This window comes from Homo sapiens, chromosome 9 (assembly GCF_000001405.40).
Source record: "Homo sapiens chromosome 9, GRCh38.p14 Primary Assembly".
Classification (NCBI taxonomy): Eukaryota; Metazoa; Chordata; class Mammalia; order Primates; family Hominidae; genus Homo; species Homo sapiens.
The window spans coordinates 109,971,095-109,995,003 of record NC_000009.12 but is presented as its reverse complement, the minus strand read 5'-3'; the positions used below and the strand labels follow the sequence as shown (position 1 = coordinate 109,995,003).

Here is a 23,909-nt window from a genome sequence, read left to right as displayed (position 1 = left end):
ATGGCAGCCCTGGTGGCTTGTAGACATGCTGTGGTATTTTGTTATGGCAAATGAATTCTAGCAAATGAATGCACTTGGGTACCACCAGGTCAAGGCATAGAACAAGAGAGCCCCTGACTCGCAGCTGATGGGTGTGGGGCAAAGGTCAACTCCCAGAACCAGGTCCATGGCAGGGCTCAGGATCAGAGCCTCCCAGCAGAGTCAGAGAGCAAGGGGGCTTGAGGAAGGGAGAGTCTAAATATGAGTGTTGGGGGACAACTCACCAAGCCTGTGGGTGTGGGGTGGCGGAGGGGAGACAGAGCAATGGAGAACACAGAGATGACCAAAGCAAGACCAGTGATGCAGGACGGGGGAGTAGGAGGTGGTCAGGATGGAGTCCAGGGACTGGACGCTCAATGCTCTTGGCAGGCTGTTTGTGAGTGGGGTGAGGGGGTTGGTTTGTTTAGAGGGTTTGAGTCTAAACTGCTGTGGGGCTAAATGTGCTGAAAGCAGAAGGATCAAGATATTAGTTATGTAGTTTTCATATTGCTTTATGACCCAGTGTTGCTTTCAATTCAAGAGTGCTTGTATGATTGGAAACAAAAAAGCCTGAGGTTTCTCAAGTTTAAAAACCCATTCGGGAGTTTGGCTGGACCCACTACAGAAGTCTGGAAGCTAAAACACAGATACTGTTTGTCTAGTCTTTTGGGATGTATCCATAACTTAGCATCAAAGTGGATACATCCCAAAGTCTTCCTCTGCCGTCATGTGCAAATTCATCTATCTCTGTCCTGGACACACATGCAAATTTTTAAAGCACTCACAACTCAAAATGACACAGGATCACTCTGATGATTTGATATACGATGTGAATAAAAGTTACCAATGGGAGTTCCTCCCGTCCTCCCTCCCCTTAGCTGCTAAAGGAACCTGGCACTGGCAGGCTCCATTTCTTTCCCGTCCTTACCCTTAAGGGAGAGTTCAGTATTTGCCAGCCCAGTAGCTAGGTATTTATAATACTGAATTGGGAAAATAAGTAGGAAGAGATAAGCTGGAGAGGCAGGAGGAAAAAGAAAGGAGAAAAAAGAGAGAGGCTGAGCTGCCTAGACTTGAGGGAGAGGAGGAAGAGGGTGAGAGACAGGGAGAGATGAAGAGAGATGTGAGGGGAGAAAAAGAGGGGGAGAGAGTAAAAGAGAGAGGAGGAGAAGAAAGGGAGACAGAGAGAAAGAGAGTGAAAAAGAAGAGGGAGAGAGAGAGGAAAGGAGAGAGAGAAAAACAGAGGGAGAGAAGAAAGGGAGAGAGGAAGGGGAGGGAGAATGAGGAGAGGAAGGAAGAGAGAATAGTGGTGTGAGGGGAGGAATCAGAGTAGACAGTGATGGTTTTGGCCTTTGGCCCTCCCAACACGGACTCCCCCTTATTATGTTAATAGCACTCCAATTTCCCTTTGGGCTGCTACCCTCTTCTATTCCTAGTTTATGCAACTCACATAGAGGTGCCTCCATTCCTAAGTTTTCTTCCTCAGGAGGTGGTCAGTGTCCTACTGACAAGTTTAGGGATGGGCATGTGATAAATGCACGTGACAGAGTTGGCCCAATGAGAGCCAGCCCTGGGACTTCCCTTAGAATGCTGGAAGAAGGAAACTCTTCTCAATGAGTTTGCTAAATTGCTCAATTGCTAAATAACACCTGGGAACCCTGGTGGCCACCTCTTAGTGGAAACACTATGCAGAAGAGAAAGCCCACAGAGAGGAAGGCAAAGCTGGGAAATGGAGTCCAACCCAAAACAACAACTCCTGGACTTTTCAAATTTGCAAGAAGATATTATCTTTTTTTTTTTTTTTAAGGCACTTTGAATTAGGATTCTGTCATGTGTGACCAAAAGAGTACTGAACAGAGAGACTCCAAGAGGAGCAGCTGCAGGGGACAGAAAAAGGGATCTTCATTGATGTTCTTTAAGAATTAAAAGGAGGGAGTGTATATTTAGGGCAACTTGAATCTATGCTCCTGGGTTGCAGTCCCCAGGCTTGGCCCAAATAAACTCTCTCTGCTCTCTCTCTCTCTCTCTCTCTCTATATATATATATATACATATATATGAATTTAAAAGAAAAGATTGAAACTCCTTTCAATGGTTTTTGGAAGCTAGACTATGCTTCCGTGCATGTGACATTTCACCAAGACTGTGTGGTCTTCCCAAGTGTGGTCCCAGGATTTAGTAGAGTCATTTACTACAGGACTCATAGCATTAGGAAATGCTATGGTCAGAAGAGATGCTAGAAGTCATCTAGTTGCATTCTCTCTTTAGCGCTTACACCTCTTCAAGTATTTTGAAAAACTCTGATTACATTTGCACACTTCCAGGGATAAGGAACTCACTTTCATAAAGGCAGCCTGTTATGGATTGAATTGTGTTCCTCAAAAAGATACTTTGAATACAAAAATTAGCTGGTTGTGTTGGTGCATGCCTGCAGTCCCAACTACTCAGGAGGCTGAGATAGGAGAATCACTTGAGCCCAGGAAGGCTGCAGTGAGTCATGATCACACCACTGCACTCCAGCCTGGGCGACAGAAGTAGACCCTGTCTCAAAATAAATAAACAAAGTAAATAAAATTAAAAAGATATTTTGAAATCTTAACCCCTAGTACCTCAAAATATGACCTTATGTGGAAATAGGATCTTTGCAGATGTAGCCAAGTTAAGATGAGGTCATCAAGGTGGGCCTTAATCCAATATAACTGGGAGTCCTTAATAAGAAGAGAGACTGACAGCCAAGAAGATGGTTACATGAAGACAGAGGCAGAGATGACAGTTATGCTACCACAAGCCAAGCAATGCTTCGGGGAGCAGAAGCTGAGAGAGGCCCGGAAGCACCCCTAGACCTTCAGAGAGAGTATAGCCCTACCAACACCTTGATTTTGGACTTCTAGGCTCCAGAACTGTGAGAGAAGAAATTAATTTCAACCCAGAAAAAAAACAAGGTTGTTTCAAGCCACCCAATATGTGGTACTTTGCTATGGCAGTCCTAGGAAACCAATACACAGCCCATTCCATTTTTAGCAACTTTCAGGTCAGAATGTTCTTCTCGACACTGAGCTAGAATTTAATTTTATGTAACTACTGGTCCTAGCATGGTCTTCTGGAGTCAAACACACGTCTATTCTTCCTCTACAAAACAGCCTTCAAGCTTCCAGGATGCGATTATGTCCCAGCTGAGACATCCCTTTGTTTATGTTCCTAGGTCATTCACCATCCTGGTGTCATTTAAAGCCTGATGTCTGCAGCCATAGAGCTGTTTGCTCTTTCCTTAGCGGCCACCAGAGCTACGTTGCACAAGCTATCCTCAATATCTTCTTCTTTGAGATGTATACCAGCAAGGCTTAAGATGGACTGCAGCTCAGTATTAGGGGGAGGAGTTACTCCCTTTGAGAATCTTCGAAAGTGACACCTTTTTATTCATAATCTTAAAGACGTGGTGGCCAAGTGTGGTGGCTAAGTGTGGTGGCTCACGCCTGTAATCCTTACACCTTGGGAGGCCAAGATAGGAGGATTGCTTGAGTCCAGGAGTTCTAGACCAGCCTAGGCAACACAGGGAGGCCCCATCTCTGAAAAAAAAAAATTTAAATTAGCTGGGTGTGGTGGTGCTTGCCTGTAGTCCCAGCTACTCGGGAGGCTGAGGTGAGAGGATGCCTTGAGCCCAAGAAGTTGAGGCTGCAGTGAGCCGTGATCACGCCACCACACTCCAGCCTGAGTGACAGAGGGAGACTCTGTCTTAAAAAAAAAAGAAAAAAAAAAATGTGATGATGGTTAAGGCTATTATAAAAAGCTCTTAGAGGAAGAAGAAAAACTGAGACATAGAGAAAATGCTGTCAATAGGTAGCACTTAAAAAAATAACCTGGCTCCCTTCCCAACCAGGGAGGCAGAAATGTTGCTCTCTGCACCAGTCTCACCCTGGGTGAGCTGCTTCAAGAACCCCCAACAGTCAGAAACAGAGGTAAGGGGTAATTGCCCTAGGAAGCCCATATCCCTGAGCCCTAACTTAGAGGACTTCCCTACTAGCCCAAGATGGCCCTCTTACACTAGTTGAAAACAAATTACTCGGCACCAAAAGGAAATTTGGAAAATGCGGAAAAAGCCTCTCAACGTTGTCTTCTAATTTTTTTCTCCAAGAGTAAAAATATTACCACAGATTTACAGGATTCTGGGCTCATGTTTATCTCACAAGGAACAAAAGGCAAAGTATTCTGGCAAATGTGCCATTTTCTGGCAATGTCACTGATTCAGCTTTACATTCCCACACCCAAATGATCTGTGGCTTTGGTCTGATGCCTATTGCAGTAAAGCGAAGCTGCCTTTGTTCAACCTAGCCAGATGGCTTCACTTTTACTTTGACAGAGAGTTGAATTTTTGAGCCATTTTAAAGGTAGCTCTTGAAGCAAGGACTAAGAATCTGAGGAGCTGGCTCTGAACTCTGCCCTGAGACCCTGCTTTTTAGACTAGGATCAACTTGGGGTACGCTTACATAGGGTCACTAATGGAAAGAGCTTTGACGACACTATACAGAAATATGTGGGCTCACTGTGCCACACCTGTTCTGACACACTGAAGTGCAGCCTGTTGCATCTTCATGAAGACATCTAGCCAACCCCTAAGAAAACAATGCGTTCAGGCAAGGCACGGTGGCTCACGCCTGTAGTCCCAGCGCTTTGGGAGGCTGAGACAGGCGGATCACTGGAGATCAGAAGTTCGAGACCAGCCTTGCCAACATGGCTGGAACCCCGTCTCTACCAAAAATGGAAAAATTAGCTGGGCTCTATAACCCCAGTTACGTGGGAGGCTGAGGCACGAGAATCACTTGAACCCAGGAAGCAGAGGTTGCAGTGAGCCAAAATCATACCACTGCACTCCAGCCTGGGTGACAGAGTGAGACCCTGCCACAAAAGAAAAAAAAAAAAAAAAAGAAAGAAAGAAAAAAGAAAACAGTGACTTAAACAGTGGAACAGTGGTAAACATAAGGAGTTTGTTATTCCCGAAATTATTTCCATTCTGGATATAAGAATTTAGGAAGTAACTATGTTTTCCCCTTTTGGTGTGTGTTTAGAGAAACAATCCTTAACTGACGTGGAAGTTCAGCATTTAGATTAGGAGAGGGATCTTTAGGGACATATTGAGATGTGACCTACATGCCCACGTGGCGAATGGTGGAGGGGGCAGCCATCTATGACAACTTATATCTTAGATGGGACAAGAATGGACAGACTGTGATGGACCCACAGTAGGAGAAGCTGGCAGGGTTTTCCTGGGTGGAATCCACACAGCCAGCTGAGACTGGAGCATGGCAGGGCTTGCTCTATCCTTCACCATGTTACCCCTGACAGCAGCAAACACTCCTGAGAAGAATCTCTTACCACAATAACGTATTGAAGATAACCTATTTGGAGTAACAAATATTAGAGAAAAATGTTTTTTGCTGTTGCTGTTTTGTGGTTGAGGCCCATCACTCTGAAGAATGTGACTGTTCCAGGCAAATGGAATTTGAAGGCACAATTCCAAAGGGGCAACAGCATGAAACAGGACTTACCATCTTGATCACAGGAGAGCAGAACTTTTGAGTAGCAGAAAGCACAACCCGAAAGAAAAAGGGAGGAAATTACTGCACCATCCTCTGGAGTTGGAGCACATTTGTGACAAGCTACGAGTAGATAGTCCCAGCTGCTTGCCTTGCCATTCATTGTTGGGCAAGACAACAGGATGGCACACTTCGATGTTCAGATAAAGGTGGGAAGGGAGGGGCCCTTGGGAGAGGGGCATTTGGCAGTTTGTTAAATGGGGTGTCCTTTTCGCTCCAGATTCAATATGTCTTTCAATCCCAAAGTATCTAGAATTTTTGACCTCTCAACACATCTGTATTAGTCTGTTTTCATGCTGCTGATAAAGATATAACTGAGACTGGGTAATTTATAAAGGAAAAGAGGTTTAATGGACTCATAGTTCCACTTGGCTGGGGAGGCCCCACAATCATGGCAGAAGGCAAAGGCACATCTTACATGGAGGCAGACAAGAGAGAATGAGAGCCAAGCAAAAGGGGTTTCCCCTTATAAAACCACCAGATCTTGTGAGACTTATTCACTAACACGAGAACAGTGGGGGAAACCACCCCCATGGTTCAATTATCTCCCACCAGGTCCCTCCCGAAACAAGTGGGAATTATGGGAGCTACAATTCAAAGATACGATTTGGGTAGGGATACAACCAAACCACATTACTATCCCTTCACTTCTTTGTTTGCTTGCTTTTTCTTTTCCTTTCTTCCTTCCTTCCTCCCTTCCTCCTCCCGCCCTTCCTTTCCCTTCCCTTCCCTTCCTTCCCTTCTTTTCCTTCCTTCCTCCTTCCCTCCCTCCCTTCGATCCTTCCTTCGTTCCTTCCTTCCTTCCTTTCTTCCTTTTTTCCTTCCTTCCTCCTTCCTCCCTCCCTCCCTTTCTTCCTTCTTGCCTTCCTTCTTCCCTCCCTTCCTTCCTTTTCTTTCTTTTATTTTCCCCTACTTTTAAATGTTAACATCTTATAAGGAAGACTTTTGGAATGTTGGCTTATTTAGTAGATATGGTCTGTGACTCAAAAATGTTACAGAATAATGAGTGGTGGCAAATATTCTGGCACAATGACTATATAAAATTGGTTAGAATGGAGTTTTCAAATTCAGTGTAGGTAAAACACTAGAGGAAATGAAAACAAACTAACTCATTCTAAAAAGACTGCATATGACTTTGTTATCACTGAAGAAACATAAATTACAATAATATTTTCATTATACAAGGACCCTTCAAATTTATAACAATAAGCAAAAACATATAGAAACTTAGCTTTGTTAGGGAACAAACACACTTATTAGACTGCAGATTGGTACTATAAAGCAGTTTTGCCTCTTGAGATAATAATAACCTAGGCCACATGTCAAAGGACATGTAGCAGAAAGCACCCTTACTCTGTAGAACAGAACCCATACTAAATTCATGGTAGAAATCCTATGTCCCTTGCCAGGGACTGGTTTAGGAAAGGGACTGGCCAAAGAAATGTTGAATGAACAATGAAACAGAGACTGATGAGGAATCTCTAATATTTTCTTGCTCGTTAAAAGAGACACAGATGAAGAAACTTCCTTTTCTTCTTCCACTGAACATTGTCATATCTGTGAGGTACGGTGATGTTTATGCTGTGGCAGCCATTTTGTGACCATGAGGACATCCTTCACAACAGAGATGTTCCCCCAAAGATGGCAGAACAAAAACATGGAAGCAAACTGGGCCCTTGAGGATGTCACTGTGTTGTAAAATTAAACAACTCCATAGCAGCCCTACCACAGGAATTCTTGTTATGGGCAATTATATTGTTTTCTTGTTGTTCAAGCCAACTGAGATATAATTTTCTGTTACTTGTAGAAAAAGCATTCCAGGAAATGATAAAATAATTTATATTTTTGACTTAATAAGTCACTTTGGAGATGATATATCAAAGAAATGCCCAAAAGATAGCAAGTTTTTATCTGAAGCTGAAAAACACAGAGACGTGTACATGAAAATCACATTATGAAAAAGGAAAGCAGGCTGGTCATGGTGGCTCATGCCTGTAATCCCAGCACTTTGGGAGGCTGAGGTGGGCGAATCACAAGGTCAGGATTTCGAGACCAGCCTGGCCAATATGGTGAAACCCCCTCTCTACTAAAAATACAAAAATAAGCCAGGTGTGGTGGCGCACACCTGTAGTCCCAGCTACTCAGGAGGCTGAGGCAGAAGAGTCACTTGAATCCAGGAGGTGGAGGTTGTAGTGAGCTGAGACCATGCCAATGTACTCCAGCCTGGGCAACAGAGCAAGACTCTGTCTCAAAAAAAAGAAAAGAAAAGAATAGAGAAAGGAAGGCAGAACATAACGGGTAGGTGCATGATCCTGACAATGTAAATATTCACACAGCTTCCACCAAAGATCATAAGACAATTCAATGTCATGGCAATAGTTTATTATTGAATGTCCACTACATTATGTTTCTGTAAATGATTACTCAAGTTGAAACACTTACTGAAATTTCTGAGAAAAGAGATAGCATCAGGCCACAAATATGAACTGCTGCACAAAATAAATGGCAGAGAAATGTCTATTGAGGAGGGGCATGTGCTTTAGGAAATGCTTCTAGAACTAGTCATTCCAAGCCTATGATTTAGAGCTTTCTCCTCAATGCAGTTATCCATTATAATAACTAAAATATGTGACAGAAGTTTTCAAAACATATGAAACACACAGACTTCAAGGAAAAGAAAGGCAAGAATTGTGATGAAGTGGGTAAAGACTCAGAGAAAATAATACAAGAGAATGTCAATATTTCTTACACAATGAATTTCCAAAAATATGTCACAAGCACAGACTGAGTCTTGTTTTAATTGGCACAAACACAAGGGAAACAGAAAATTTAAGTCAGAGAAGCCGTAGCACTGAAAATTCTATTTGCATCTGCCTGAAAATCAGAGAAAATGTTGAGAAAGGAAGAACTGGACATAAAGGAAACCTATCAGATCCATATTAGATGAAACAGCTGCATGAATCTTTTCATAGGAGGTGCTTATAGCCCTTTATTTTTGGAATTTCTCTTTCAAGGATCACCAATGAAACTGAATTTTGTTACTCATAGTATTGACAGCTAAATTAAGACAGATCAGAAAATCAAGGCCAAGAAAATTACTGTAAAATTGGAAGGTTCATTGTGAACTGTAAGAAAATCATTCAGAAAAACACATTAATTACATTCAATCAAATACACTTTTACCCCCTAAACTTTCACGCAGCTCTATGTCATTCAGTTTCTCAAACGTTGACTCAAGGAACACACTATACCAAGGCTTTATTAGATATTAGCTTTCTTTGCACCTTGAACCACAGCCTAAGGTTAAATGTTTTCAGATCTGGATTTTGGTAGCGGGTCGCATTTCTTTTGAATTTGATGACGTATTAGCAGTTGGAGCCAGTTTAATGAGGTGAGAAAGATGTCAGATTAACTGGGAGGTATGCAGCCGGAATAAAAGAAAACTCAAAGGCCGGGTGCAGTGGCTCATGTTTGTAATCCCAGCACTTTGGGAGGCCAAGGTGGGGGGATCATTTGAGGGCAGGAGTTCAAGACCAGCCTGGCCAACATGGTGAAACCCCATCTTCACTAACAATACAAAAATTAGCCGGGCATGGTGGTGCATGCCTGTAATCCCAGCTACTTAGGTGGCTGAGGCAGGAGAATTGCTTAAACCTAGGAGGCGAAGGTTGCAGTGAGCAGAGATCACACCACTGCACTCCAGCCTGGGCAAGAAAGCAAGACTGTTAAAAAAAAAAAAAAAGAAAGAAAGAAAACTCAAGACAGTTTTTTTTTTTTTTGAGACGGAGTCTCGTTCTGTCGCCCAGGCTGGAGTGCAGTGGTGCCATCTCGGCTCATTGCAAGCTCCACCCCCCAGGTTCACGCCATTCTCCTGCCTCAGCCTCCCGAGTAGCTGGGACTACAGGTGCCCGCCACCACGCCTGGCTAATTTTTTTGTATTTTTAGTAGAGACGGGGTTTCACTGTGTTAGCCAGGATGGTCTCCATCTCCTGACCTCGCGATCGGCCCACCTCGGCCTCCCAAAGTGCTGGGATTACTCAAGACAGTTTTACAAGACAATTAAGCATATTTCACATTGGGGAAAAAGCCCAAGCACATTTTACCTCATTATGGATAGCAAATGTTTAGTGCAGGGATATCATACAGATATGTCAGGCTTTTAAAAAGGTAACGTGCAAAATATCTAGTTTTTTGTTTTTGTTTTTGTTTTGTTTTGTTTTTTTGAGACGGAGTCTTGCTCTGTCACCCAGGCTGGAGTGCAATGGCGTGATCTTGGCTCACTGCAACCTCTGCCTCCTTGATTCAAGTGATTCTCCTGCCTCAGCCTCCCGAGTAGCTGGGACTGCAGGCGTGCACCACCATGCCTGGCTAATTTTTGTATTTTTTAGTAGAGACGGGGTTTCACCATGTTGGCCAGGCTGGCCTTGACCTCCTGACCTCAGGTGATCCACCTGCTTTGGCCTCCCAAAGTTCTGGGATTACAGGCGTGAGCCACCACGCCCGGCCTTTTTAAAATTTTTTTCTAAGAGACAGGGTGTGGCTCTGTTGCCCTGGCTGGAGTGGCAGTGGCACGATCATAGTGCTTTGTAAACCTCGAACTCCTGGGGTCAAGTGATCCTCCCACCTCAGTCTCCTGAGTAGCTGGGATTAAAGGCACTCCACCACACCCAGCTGATTTTTCTTTAAAAAAAAAAAAAAAAAAGTTATAGAGCTAGATTCTTCCTATGCTGCCCAGGCTGGTCTCAAACTCCTAGCCTCAAGCAATCCTCCTGCCTTGGCCTCCCAAAGTGCTGGGATTACAGACATGAGCTACCATACCTGGCCCAAAGTTTCTAAAATTTTGTTTATTTATCTATTTTAATTTAACTTTTTTTTTTTAATTCTTTTGTAGGGCCTCATTTTGTTGCTCAATCTAGTCTCGCTTTGTTACTCAAATTGGTCTCGAACTCCCAGCCTCAAGTGATCCTCCCACCTCAGCTTCACACAATACTGGGATTATAGGCAAGAGTCACCATACCCAGTATCTAAAGTTTTAAAGCATAAATTCTTTAATACTAAAGAGAGACACCTTGTATCATCTTTAGAAGGTCAGTTTTCTATGGAAATAAAATATTTGATCTGCAATAATTACAAATACAAAGAAATCTTCAGGAATATATTCATTATTTAGAGATGTATTTAAGAGACTAGAGATATACTTCACTGTACTAATTTATTTTAGCTACCCCAATAGTATTATTAAAAATATATAGGGTTAAGGGTCTCAAAGTCAATGGAGAAGTTCGCACCAAAAAGTGGTCAAGACTGAAGAAAAAAGATGAAGTCGTATACACATTAGGTAAGTTTTTAGCATCTCATCAGAACTATTTGTTCCTAAATTATTTTGCTCCTCTTGATCCTGAAAAACACATTAATTATGATGATTTATTCAATAAATTCATTCCTGAATACTTGTTTTCTATATGAATTATCTCCTTGATGCCATTGAGCATCTGACTCACAATTTTTTTTTCTTTTCTTTTCTTTTTTTTTTTAAGTCAGGGTCTGGCTCTATTGCCCAGGCTGCAGTGCAGTGGCATGATCTCGGCTCACTGCAACCTCTGCCTCCCATGTTCCAGCGATTCTCATGCCTCAGCCTCCCAAGTAGCTCGGATTACAGGCATGTGCCATCATGCCTGGCTAATTTTGGTATTTTTAGTAGAGATGGGGTTTTGCCATGTTGGTCAGGCTGGTCTCGAACTCCTAGCCTCAAGTGATCCATCCACTTCAGCCTCCCAAAGTGCTGGGATTGAAGGCATGAGACCGCACCCAGCCAGATCTTACATGTTTTACTTACATTTTACTATATTAGTTTCCATTTCTGCAAGCCACCCTAAATGCTTTGTAGAATATGGGGTTAAGAAAACAAGAACAGATAGACAGAGAGGAAAAGAAGAGGGAGAGAGAGAGGAAAAAAAGGAGGAGTGGGGTGAGAAGGAAAAAGAAGGAGACGAAAAAGAAGAGAGAGAGCATGAATGGAACAAATGGTGAGAGAGGAGAGAGCATAGAAAAAGCAAAGGGATGGTAGAAGAGAAGGAAAGTGGAAAACAGATTCCATTTTATACTACATAATCAGCAAAAACCAACTCTTTAACCAGAATCAGGTATTCGCATCTATGGCACATTTTGTCAAGGAAAACAATTTAGGTTTTCAGGCTAGCCCCTAACACTTTAATGTGAGTCCGCTATCCTGAAAGCCGGAAATTTTATAGAGGAATCCCCACTCTCATAGAAAGAAAACCCTTTTCTCACCCATTCCTGAATGCCTAAGGGGTTTTAGGGGAAACTTTTGAAGTAGGTGAGGCTACGTGCAGTTCTGTGCCCTCTTCTATTTCTTGTTGCTCCCTCTCCAAGACTAATGGGATCTAATCTTCATGTAGCTCAAAGACATGGGCAGACAGCTGGCTGGCTCTTTCTTGTCAAAAACCAGACTAAAGACCAGGTGCAGTGGCTCACACCTATATTTTTAACACTTTGGGAGGCCAAAGCAAGAGGATCACTTGAGATCAGGAGTTCAAGACCAACCTACGCAACCATAGTGAGACCCCATCTCTACAAAAAGTTTAAAATAACTGGACGTGGTGGCACACACCAACAGCCCTAGCTACTTGGGAGGCTGAAGCTGGTGAATCTCTTGAGCCCTGGAGCTCTAGGCTGCAGTGGACTATGAACATGCACTGCACTCCTGCCTGGGTGACAGAATGAGACCCTGTCTCTCTCTCTCTTTAAAAAAATTTTACTGTTTTAATTTTTGTGGGTACACTGTAGGTATAATATATGAAGTACATTATATATTTTGATACTGGCATACGATGCGAAATAATCACATCAGGGTAGATGGGGTATCCATCACCTCAAGCATTTATCCATTTGTCCTTTCTTTGTGTTACAAACAATCCAATTATACTCTTAGTTATTTTAAAACGTACAATAAATTATTATTGACTGTAGTTACCCTTCGTGCTATCAAATATTAGATCTTATTCATTCTAGTTATATATCTAATCATATTTTTGTACTTATTAACCATACCCACTTCCCCCTCCCCACTACCCTTCCGAGCCTCTGGTAACCATCCTTCTACTCTCTATGTCCATGAGTTCAATTGTTTTAATTTTTAGTCCTCACCAACAAGTGAAAATAAACAAAGTTTGTCTTTCTATGACTAGCTTATTTCACTTAACACAATGACCTCCAGTTCCATCCATATTGTTGCAAATGACAGAATCTCATTCTTTTTTATGGCTGAATAGTACTCCATTGTGTACACGTACCACATTTTCTTTATCCATTCATCTGTTGATGGACATTTAGGTTGCTTCCAAATCTCGGCTATTGTGAATAATGCTGCAACAAACATGGGAGTGCAGGCATCTCTTCAATATCCTGATTTCCTTTCTTTTGGGTATATACCCATCAGTGGGATTGCTGGATCGTATGGTAGCTCTAATTTTAGTTTTTTGAGAAACTTCTAAACTGTTCTCCATAGTGGTTGTACTAATTTACACTCCCACCAAGAGTGTTCCCTTTTCTCTACATCCTTGCCGGCATTTGTTATTGCGTGTTTTTTAGGTAACAGCCATTTTAACTGGGGTGAGATGATTCTCACTGTAGTTTGATTTGCATTTTTTGGATCATCAATGATGTTGAGCACCTTGTCAAATACCTGTTTGCCATTTGAGTCCCTATCTCAAAAACAAAAACAAAACAACAACAACAAAACAAAACCTCCCTCTCAGCACTGTCCCTGTTTCAGTTCCATGCTAGGGAGAAGTTTGCTAAGCAACATTTATGTGTTAATTCCTTATTAGCCTGTTCAGAAGCATTGGCCTGATCAGAATATCTTGATTAAAGCTTTGTGGGCGATGGGGACCAGGTGAGCAGCTCAGCTAGACCTAGGCCTCTGCTCCCTAGACAAGCTCCTGCCATTCAAAGCTGCTTTCATTCCGCTACTTCTCTGTTCTCTCAACCCTTCAAGCCCATCTAAGCAGCTTAGGTGTGCTAATAACATCCATTCATATCTTCCTACAGCATCCTGCACACATCAGTAAAACCTAATAAATATTTGTTGGTTGACTGCATTTGAGGTATTTTTACTACTGCTTTAAATTCTAAGTGACTTTGAAAGGCAAACAAAGATTAAGTTCATGGAAGTGTAGAAGTAGAACCAGAAAACCTGGGTGTTGGCTGTGGTCAGTCCACTTTTTACTGTATCCTACACAAATCTATCCTCCATTTCCTCATTAGGAATAATAAATGAAGATTTATTAAGCACCTACTCCACAACAGGCACTATTCTATGTACTTTAGTGCACTGAAGTCTTCACTGCTAACAACTCTTATGAGGTAGGATGCAAAGCGCATTCCCATGGTACAGAGAAGGAAATGGAGGCACAAACCACGAAGCTGGGAGGCACCCCAGCTGCAACTGGGTACCAAGGAGCTTAGCTCCAGAAACTAGGTTCTTAACCACTATATGGTTCTGTCTGTCAATTAAACAAAATAATGTTTGGCAAAGTGCCTTAACATTTTAGAGATGGGTATAGATGCTAAGTCATTATGGAAATGGCAGAGATGAGAATAACTGAGTAGAACAATTGGCCTGTATGTGGCAGCTCCAGCCCATCACCATGGGACAGCTTGAGCTACTGCAGTAAGAAGCACCCAAGGAACCTGTTAACCTGTAGGTTTCCAGGCCCTGATCTCAGATGCTCTGATTCAGTATTCTGGAGTGAGACCTATGAGCCTGCATTAGGTCGTCATAGGATTCATTTGAGAAGGCTCCTTCTAGCGAGAAGTCAGGGCTTTTGGAGGCCAACATGCACAACTTGAGGCTGAATCCCAGCTGGTGTACGATGAGGCCTCCAGAAAGTTACTTAGCGCTCACTTGCCTCAGTTTCCAAAAGGAGCATGCAGAGCTCTTTTCAAAGCCCTTGTATAAATTCTCTTACTTGGCCCTCCCATTTGCTTTGAGGAAGAAAAACCCTCCTTGCAAAAGAATGTGAGCAGTTTAGGATGCATTTGGAGGTCATCTGAGCCTCGATGGCAGGCAAGGTTGAGATCAGCCCCATTCTTTCACTGAGGAAAGCAAGGCTCAGGGTGATTAGATGACTTTATCCAGGGACACTGAGAAGAGGAGGACCCATGGCCCAAAGACTTGTTCTTTCCTTTATACTAGGGAAGCATCTGTTGTTTGCAAAGCTCCTGGAACTTGAGAACCAAGAAGAGTGATGGTGGAGTGGCCTACTATGGGCACAGGGCACAGTGAGGGTTTAGGGAGCTCAGAGCAGGCCCAGCTATGACAGGGATGGGCATGTGTGGGGTGGCCTTTCTACCCTTTTGGGAATATCCTGAGGACACACTTCTTTCCTGTGTCCTTTGAAAAGCAGCCTATTCCCAGAGGATGCCGGTGTCATCCAGGCCTGTCTGCGTCTGGGGGAGAGTTTAATTCAGCAGAGGATGTATTCAGCACACAGATCTAAATCATATTCACTAATCAGCCATACAAATAAAAAGCTCATGTTGTCTCATTTTTCAATCTATTTTGAATTTAAAGGGAATTTAAGGGTGCTCTTAATTATCATTCACCAAATCCAACAATAACATCAGAAGCCCCCACAATATTGTCCCTACTCATCCCTTACTTTTAAGGGAATGGTTGAGATGGTTCCTTGATTAGTTCCATTAATGGGATCAGTCATTTGTTGAATACCTATTGTGCTCCAAGCACTATGCTAGGCATTGAGGAAATAAAGACAGTAAAGACAGCCACCAAATAGAAGCTCCCAGGCAGACAGGCAGAGAGAAAGGTATCCTCAATATGGAAAGTACAAAGATGAAGCAAGACACCTTTAAACTTGGTTTACTACATTGCTGCAGAGGTAGAGACAGGGGCTACTGACATTCCCAGTGGGGTAAGAGACAGGTGACTGATATCCCCACGTTGCCACACATAAGTTCCTCAGGCTATGCTGCCCCTCAGACTCTTAAGACAGGCGGGGCTTGAGAGCAAGGCTTGCGTTCTTCCTCCACCCTCATGGCTAGACTCTTAGAAAGAGGAGACCTGAGACCAGGCGCAATGGCTAACACTTGTAATCCCAGCACTTTGGGAGGCCGAGGTGGACGGATCACTTGAAGTCAGGAGTTTGAGACCAGCCTGGCCAACATGGTGAAATCCCATCTCTACTAAAAATACAAAAATTAGCTGGGCATGGTGGTGCGTGCCTGTAGTCCTAGCTACTCTGGAGGTTGAGGTGGGAAGATTGCTTGAAACAGGGAGGCGGAGGAGGTTGCAGTGAGCCAAGATTGCACCACTGCACTCCAGCCCAGGTGACAGAGCAACACTCTGCCTCAAAAGAAAAAAAAAAAAGAAGGCCTGGAGCAGAGAGGCTTGTGGAGAAGACAGAAAGGGAAACAGGGGCCCAGTGGTACCTGCCTCCTGTCCTCTCCCAGGGTCAACATCTGCCAGCTCAGTCAGAGAAATGGAGTCAAGCGTGTCTCTAGTGACACTATTGAATGGCTGAGGGGGCTTTGCAATGATTGTTCCATTTTTAATAAAAAGCTCTGGAAGCCACAGCTTAAGATGGCCAACGAATCTCAGGGAGAATCCCAAGGAAATCAAAGGCAATGACATAAAGAGATAGAAGACTGTCTCCACTTACAGACCCAGAGTGAGAAAATAGAAAGCCACAGTGAGGGGACTCTTCATTCTCAGTGAGATTACCCTGCAAAAGTGAGGTAGAGCCTTGGCCTGTGAAAGCCTGAGTGGATATAGAAAGAGAGTCCTTACAGGCAACATAAGGAGGATGGGGACAGTAGCCAGTGAAGACGCAGATGCTCCTTTTCAGGGAGCTTTAAATGCATCTTTGGGAGTGATTGATCCACTAGAGACAAGGTCTGATGCCACCTTAGGGCATTCCATTAATGCTCAGCTTCTTGAGTGCAGACATGTTGTTTAACACACAGTAGATGCTCAAAAGTTGGTTGGGGGTGGGGGTGAATAGATGAGCCCATCCAGAAGAACCCAGGTTTTCTCAAAATATTTGAGATGAAATATTTGCTATGCCTCCTGCTGTGATCCACAGAAATGTCTGCCAACCTCCACTGACATCTCTGGCATGACTTGGCCTTTCTAGACTGTGAGTTCCAGGAAGGCTGAGACTTTCCTTCTCCCCTCTCTCCATCTCCCCTCTGCCACCTCAGCACCTGGTCCTGAGGAGGCATGCATCCCTCCTTCCACTCACCCACTCACCTCTGGGGCTTTATTTTCCTACCAAATATCTCTTCCTCTCTTTTCTAGAAATGCTCCTTCACTCACTCTGACATTATGGTTTGAGGGAAAGCTAACATCTTCTACAAGCCCTGTCCCACTCCATCTCAGATTGGGTATGGGTAGACATCCAAAATGGCCAAGGTCCTGGTCCAGGGATGGACAACTATCTAAGCTAGGCCACCAAGAGCCCTTTCCCAGAATCCAGAAACCAGGTCTGTTTATCCCTATTTCAAGGTGGGACTGAAAACAGAGCTTGGGAGTCAAAGGAAGCTGTTTGGAGCCTGCCTGAAAGGATGTTGCTGATACCCAGAGAGAGGCAGGGGGTGAAGGGCAGAGTCCCAGTAGCATTTAAAGCCCTGATGTGTCACGCTTGCAGACCAGCGGCACCCTTGCTCTTCCTGTGATCAGGATATGTATGTCAGTAAATGTCAGTTTTTCCAGATCAGTTCAAATTGTGTTTTGTCACTTGCAACCCAAAGACTCCTGACTAATACATGAAACCAATTACTTTTTGGTGTAATTTGGCCCCTGTGGAGCCTAGAGAACCATCAGGAAACACATGATCCTTCTCACATTGATAGCTGGAGTTTGTGTCAATTTAAGAGGCACATCAGGCTCAGAGCAGAAGTGGTGGGACATGGGCTGCCTAATTCTGCAAAAGCACTAGCATGTCGAGCAAGTCATTAAAGCCCACATGAACAGAAAGCAATATTAAGAGCCTAGGCAATCAGAAAATTGATGCAAGTGTCAGAGAAAAGGACAACTGGAATAAAAAGAAGGGAGGTTGAATGTTTCTCACTAAGTGGATCCTGATCTATATACTAAGAAGGAAGAAGCATGTTCTTTCAACTACCTCCTGTACTTGTATTCCCTGGTGCAGCTTAGGAGGACAGTACTATTGCTGTTGCTGAGAGTCAATGTGATACAGTGGTTCTCCGTGTCTGGTCCCAGGACCAGCAGCATTAGAAATAAAAATTCTTGGCCTCACCTCAGACCTCCTAAATGAGAATCTCTGATTCTAAGGTGGCCTAGAAATCTGCTTGCTTTTTTTTTTTTAAACAAGCCCTTCAGGTGAACTGGATGCACTGTGAAGTTTGAGCACCACTGGCATATTGCTTTTGCTAAGCCTGAAGCTCTGGCACCAAGTTTTTGGGTTTTGCACAGACTACAAGATGAGCAGTGCCCACTGCGGTTCACACTGTGGCATCCCCTGGTTTTGCATCCTGGCTCAGCCACTTACTATCTGTATAGCTTTGGCAAGTTACTTAACTCCTTTGAGCCTCAGACTCTTCATATGTCAGACAGAAATAAGAGTAGTGCCCATTTCTCAGGTTTATTTGAGGATTTAATGAGATAACACATATAAAGTACTTAGTTCAGTACCTAGCACATAGGGTAAGCACTCAATAAATGTTGGTTATTTGTATTATTTTGCTGCTGTTCTGATTTTAGGGCAACACATGGGCCTAGGGAAGCCAGAGAAAACCTCTCCAGATATATTTTCTCTTCTGAAACACTACAGCAACCTAGATTTATTATTTCTGCCTAGCAATCTTCTACTCACCCTTCAACACCCTGCTTAAAGTCACCTCCTCTGTGATGACCTCTCAGAGCTGAGTAATCCTTCCTTTCTCCAGGCATCCATCTCCATCAAAGCCCTCAAACTTCTTCATATGAACCCTGACTCTACCTCTTCCTACTTGTTTGATCTTGGGAAAGCTTCTTCACCTTTCTATGCCTCAGTTTCCTCCTTTGTAAAATGGCATGAATAACTGTTCTTACCTATGAAATTGTTGTGGGGATTAAGTGAGGTAATATGTGTAAACTGCTAATGATAGTACTTGGCATATATTAAGTGCTCAGTAACTGTTAGCTCTGTCTCCTAGTGCCTGGCACTCTGTAGTGCTGGATGAGAAGGAAATGATGAGTAAATGGATATGAGGCAGGGCCAGGACTAAGATGAGGTGGTAAGGACTTGGCTTGGGTGTAAAATTTAAACAGGCACACTACACTCCGTTCCAGTAAAACTTGGAATAGTTTCAGAAAAAATGCTTCCAATAAATCTTTATTTATAAACACAGGCAGATGGCCCATGGCCATAGTTTGCTAATTTGATTTTCTAAAATACTGCATTATTAAAATATGATTTATCCTGATTATTGAGGCATGGGGCATGGGACATACTTGCTTAATCTGCTCTTCCTCCTCCCCACCGGCTGACCCTGAATGCACAGGCCCCGTGGTTCCCCAGCAATGTGTAGCTCTTCATCATTTTACCATTTGTGTCAGAGTTAGCAAGGAATGTATGATGGTGGCTGTGAACCACAATTTTTGCAGGTTCTCTGCCCATAACCCTCGGGCTGAGTCAGTTTGCTTGTCTCTCCAAGAAGGGCTCCTTTCCAAGCTCCAAGACTATTTTTAAAGCAAGTCGACACTCAAAGCCCAGTAGTGTCCATGTGTAGTTTTCAAATACAATCAAGGGTAAGAAGATACATATACCTACTGTGATGGTTAATTTTATGTATCAATTTGACTGAGCCAAGGAATGGCTAGATAGATGGTAAAACATTATTTCTTGGTATGTCTGTGAAGGTGTTTCCAAAAGAGATTAGCATTGAATTGGTAGACTGAGTAAAAAGATGGCCTTCACCAGTGTGGGTGGGCAATCATCCAATTTGTTGAAGGCCAGAATAGAACACAAAAGTGGAGGAAGGGTGAACTTTCTCTCTCCGCTTAACCTGGGATGTCCGTCTTCTGGTGCCCCTGGTTCTTGGACCATTGGACCTGGATTGGGACTTGTGCCACTGACTCCCCTGGTTTCTGGCCTTCTGGGTTGGACTGGAATTACATCATTGGCTTTCCTGGGCCTCCAGCTTGTAGATAGTAGATCGTGGGGCTTCTCAACCGCCATAATTGAGTGAGCCAATCCCTCATAATATTTTTCCATATGTCTACATACATCTTATTGGTTCTGCTTTTCTTAAGAATCCTAATATACACAAACGTGTGTGTGTGTGTGTGTGTGTGCACGTGCAGATACATATATATTTGGCTTTGTGATATTTTCTGAAACTTTCAAGGTTGTGTGTGTCCATAACCAAGCTGAAAGTAGAGTCATCTGTTTCAAAGACATTTCCCTGGAGATGTGACATTTGGCCAGAGGCTCCCCTATGGGACATATGTGCTCACCTTTCAGATGCCTTTTGCATCCCAAGAGGAATAGTCTGCATCTGTGCTTGCTTCTTGCTGGAGCTTCACCTCATTAAGAAGTGACCTATTTCCCAGCACACATGCCATCTCTGTTTGAGGGGCAATCACTTACTATGTAATTAGTCCTGCTTGCAAAGACAGGCCTAGTGCTGGGCCCCATACTCTGGTGCTGCAGCAGCAGTGATGAGAAAATGGTATTTCTTACTATTGCGGTACACTTTGTAAACCATTGCAGGGGATTTTTTTCCTTCTTCTTTTTATTACAATGCCACTAAAATGGAAACCATTCAGGGAAGTGAGAGTGGCGTGCGTTGGCAGTCTAAGCAACATGTGTCACTCTGCCGATTCAAAATCAGATCAAATCTGGGTTTCTCTTTCTCTCTCAGGTTGTTGTTGACATCTCTGGGTCTTTGGGTTTTTTTTTTCAGCATGCATGGCTCTGAGTGTAGGTAAGGCAGAGGCAACACTCCCAGAAGAAGCCTGAAAAGGGCTTTGGGTCAGACTCACTAGTCGGAAGCACATGGTAGGTTCCTGCCACACAGCCACTGGTTTGTCCAGTCCCGTTAGCAACAGGCTGGGCATATGCCCATCGGCATTGAACTCTTGTGAGTGCCCTTTAGAATTCTGAATCAGAAACTGCCCTTGGCACTCACCCTGCCAGGCAGGGCCTTGACAACAGCCATGTGACCCAGTCCTCCAGCTCTTACATTCTGTGCAGTCATCAGAGACATGTCCATTTCTTATGCTCTGAGTCTGGTTGCATGCTCTCTCCATGGACTCTTGCTTTAGTCTGCATCTCCCTCATAGAAGCACATACCAGTCATACTTTACATGTGTCCTGTCTGCCTCTCTCTTCCTTTGGACTCTAAACTCCATGAGAGTAGGAAGAGTGTCTGTCTTGCACATCACTGTGTTTCCAATGCCCAGCACAGCGCCAGGCACATAGTAGATGCTTTATCAATGTTTACTGAATGACAACATCTATATGAAAATGAGTCCTCAAGAAGCCCAAGGCTGGCTATATACCATTGGTACTGGCTTCGATTCAGGCAGCTGTGCTTATTACTGGCTACATCTTGGGCAAGTTGGTTAGCCACACCAAACCTCAATTTTCCACTCTGTAAAATGAGGATAATAATACCTACCTCACAGAGTTATCAAGAGACTAAAACTAGATAGCATTCATGACAGCATGTGGCAGACAGTATTATTGCCCCCAAATCCTTTCTGCCTTCCCTGTGGGAGGATTATATATCCTCACTCATTGTCAAGAGATCTGCAGTGCTGCTCTATGGGAGGAGGATACTCCCCTACCCCATTGGTGCCAGGCTTGGCCATGTGACTTGCCTTGGCCAATGGAATATAAGCTACACGTGCCACATCCAAGCATGACTTTAAGAGCCACTATATGGTTCTCCTAGTACCCCTTTCTCTCTGTCATAAGAATGGCATGTTCCATATAGGGGCTGATCCTGCAGCCTGGGTCCAGGAATGAAGACACCTAGAACAGAGCTCCAGTAGCAAGAAAGAAACCATTACTGGGGTTGCCTGTTGCAACAGCATAATGTAGAGAGAAGGCCAACTGGTATACAGTGCCTGTCACAAAGCAAGGGTTTAGTAAACCTTTGTGGAATGAACAAACACATGCTGAAGTTTCTACCAGATCAACTGCTCCAGTGCTTTTGATTCTTTTGGGTATGACATTCAATCACTAAGATAAATTTAAGGTGGCACTTTGTGGCATAAAAAAGAAGTAGATTTTTTTTTAACTGAATGAAAGTTGATCCATTCTATTAGGGTATAGCAGTGCCTGTGTCCTAAAAACCCTATCCAGGGTTTCTTTCATGGATTATTGATTCCAACTTATAGCCTATATTAACTGAGTCTTTTTGCTTATGTGTATTAAGCCATTATTGGTAAAAGGTGTATTAAGCCATTATTGGTAAAAGGTGAAAGATTTATATGATCTGAAGAGAAACCAGAGCATTATTAAGCCATTATTGGAGAGCAGGGTGCTAAGTCCGTTATACATATTAGCATGTTTAATCCTTGCAATTGTGCAGGAGATATAGGGAGACAAAAGTCACGTGGTACCCAGGGGCAAGGTAATGTTTGTGAACTTTGTCTCCTCGTAACACTGCACCAGAATTTGCAAAGGCTAGCATCTTTGTGGCATTCCCTGCAGACTGGTGGTGGGGTCATATGCACACCCCTTGGCTTCCTCTTCATTATGCCCCTAGTGGCAGGGGTTAGGGGAGGTCCCAACATTGTCTATAGTATACTGATGGGGAAACAGGCATCAAAGCATGAAGAATACGCTAAAGGTCATCCAGCCAGTCAGCAGCAGAGCCTAGACAGGAAGCCAGATGCACCAGACCTCAGAGCACTAACCTCATGCCATGCTGTCTCCCACGTTCATCCACAAAACCATATTCCCTTCTGCTTCTGCTTCCAGACTGAGTCATACTCACCCTAAGCTGGCACAGTCCTTCAGATTGAAGCCACTGTTCCTCCTATATCAGCAGGTTCCCCAAAGAATACTCAAGACAACGGAATGGTAAGAGACAAGTAGTATTGGGGAAGCTAGAATGAAGCTTTCATTTCCTTCTGATCCACACCTATGTTAGGCCACTCACTGTGAAGCCTGCTGACTTATGCTTGCAGGTGGGAACCCACCAACAACTCCCACCTGTTGAAGTTGTATTTATAGGCAAGGCCCTGCATGAAGCACCAATGCTATTCAGAGCTGCTGAAGATATGGTCCCTTGTCCTTAAGGAGTTCCACCTTAGTAAAGGGACAGATGTGCAAACAATGAACTTGATTACAAGGTCTTCTGAACAGGAGTTGAGAACAGAGAATTAGTAGATGTGCAGATGAGAGACGAACTCTGGTGGAATATCAGAGACAGCTTCAGAGAGTAGGCAGCATTTAAGCCTGGCTTGGTAGAATGAGTAATCTTTCAACGGGCAGGAGTTGCAAAGAAGTGTGTCTTGGAGGAATGGCTTGCTCAGGGTAGGAGAAATGGTCCCTGTGGGGGCTGTGTAGTGTGCAGTGGGTCACATGCCTAGAAACACAGGTGGAAATCAGATTTTGGAAGGTCTAAATGCCAGGTCAACAAGATCTGGTTTTACACTCTGCAACAATGTATCTTGGCTGGGCGCGGTGGCTCACGCCTGTAATCCCAGCACTCTGGGAGGCTGAGGCAGTCGGATTGCCTGAGGTAAGGAGTTCGAGATCAGCCTGACCAACATGGTGAAACCCTATCTCTACTGAAAATACAAAAATTAGCCAGGCTTGGTGGCGAACGTCTGTAATCTCAGCTACTTGGGAGGCTGAGACAGGAGAATCGCTTGAAGCCGGGAGTGGGAGGTTGCAGTGAGTCAAGACCGGTCCATTGCACTCCAGCTTGGACACCCTGCACAAAACAGGTTCAGACCTGAGAGGCAATTCAAGTCTTTCTTGAATGTGTGGGGCACTGGAGACAAAAGCTCTGAATGGCCTGGGGCTTGGAAACACTATGAACACAAAGAACACAAAGAGCAAACAGACCCCTTTTCTCTGTAAAAAAAAAAAAAAAAAAAAAAAAAAAAAAAGGGACTAAGAGTGGGATAAACATGGAAGCCTGAAGTTCAGCATTGGATAAGGAGATGGATTCATTCACTGATATTTACTGAGCACTGCTATGTGCCAGGCATGGTTCTAGGCATTTGGGAAACATCAGGAAATAAAGATCCCTAACCTCCTGAAGCTTTCTTTCTAAGGAAACTTTTATTTTATTTTAT

The 23,909-nt window shown here is 43.6% G+C and overlaps 1 protein-coding gene across 12 annotated transcripts in view, besides 4 other annotated features; it reads right to left on the bottom strand.

The window, feature by feature from the left end:
• The window catches only part of PALM2AKAP2 (PALM2 and AKAP2 fusion), a 531,726-nt gene that overhangs the window by 177,509 nt on the left and 330,308 nt on the right, over nucleotides 1-23,909 (bottom strand). The gene's annotated exons all lie outside the window — the stretch shown is intronic.
• Nucleotides 18,902-19,071: an enhancer, noted in NCBI's record as "experimental_104594 CRE fragment used in MPRA reporter constructs". NCBI's record gives its function as "activates a minimal promoter by MPRAs in K562 erythroleukemia cells, with activity observed for the non-introgressed 9:112738298 or rs12683699 variant allele {active_cell/tissue: K562}" and the evidence as "EXISTENCE:reporter gene assay evidence [ECO:0000049][PMID:34662402]".
• Nucleotide 18,986: a transcriptional cis regulatory region, noted in NCBI's record as "Neanderthal adaptively introgressed variant 9:112738298 (GRCh37/hg19 assembly coordinates) or rs12683699 in the experimental_104594 CRE". NCBI's record gives its function as "modulates activity of the experimental_104594 enhancer by MPRAs in K562 erythroleukemia cells {active_cell/tissue: K562}" and the evidence as "EXISTENCE:reporter gene assay evidence [ECO:0000049][PMID:34662402]".
• Nucleotides 20,242-20,621: an enhancer, noted in NCBI's record as "active region_28781". NCBI's record gives its function as "activates an Ori minimal core promoter by ATAC-STARR-seq in GM12878 lymphoblastoid cells {active_cell/tissue: GM12878}" and the evidence as "EXISTENCE:reporter gene assay evidence [ECO:0000049][PMID:35858748]".
• Nucleotides 22,523-22,732: an enhancer, noted in NCBI's record as "active region_28780". NCBI's record gives its function as "activates an Ori minimal core promoter by ATAC-STARR-seq in GM12878 lymphoblastoid cells {active_cell/tissue: GM12878}" and the evidence as "EXISTENCE:reporter gene assay evidence [ECO:0000049][PMID:35858748]".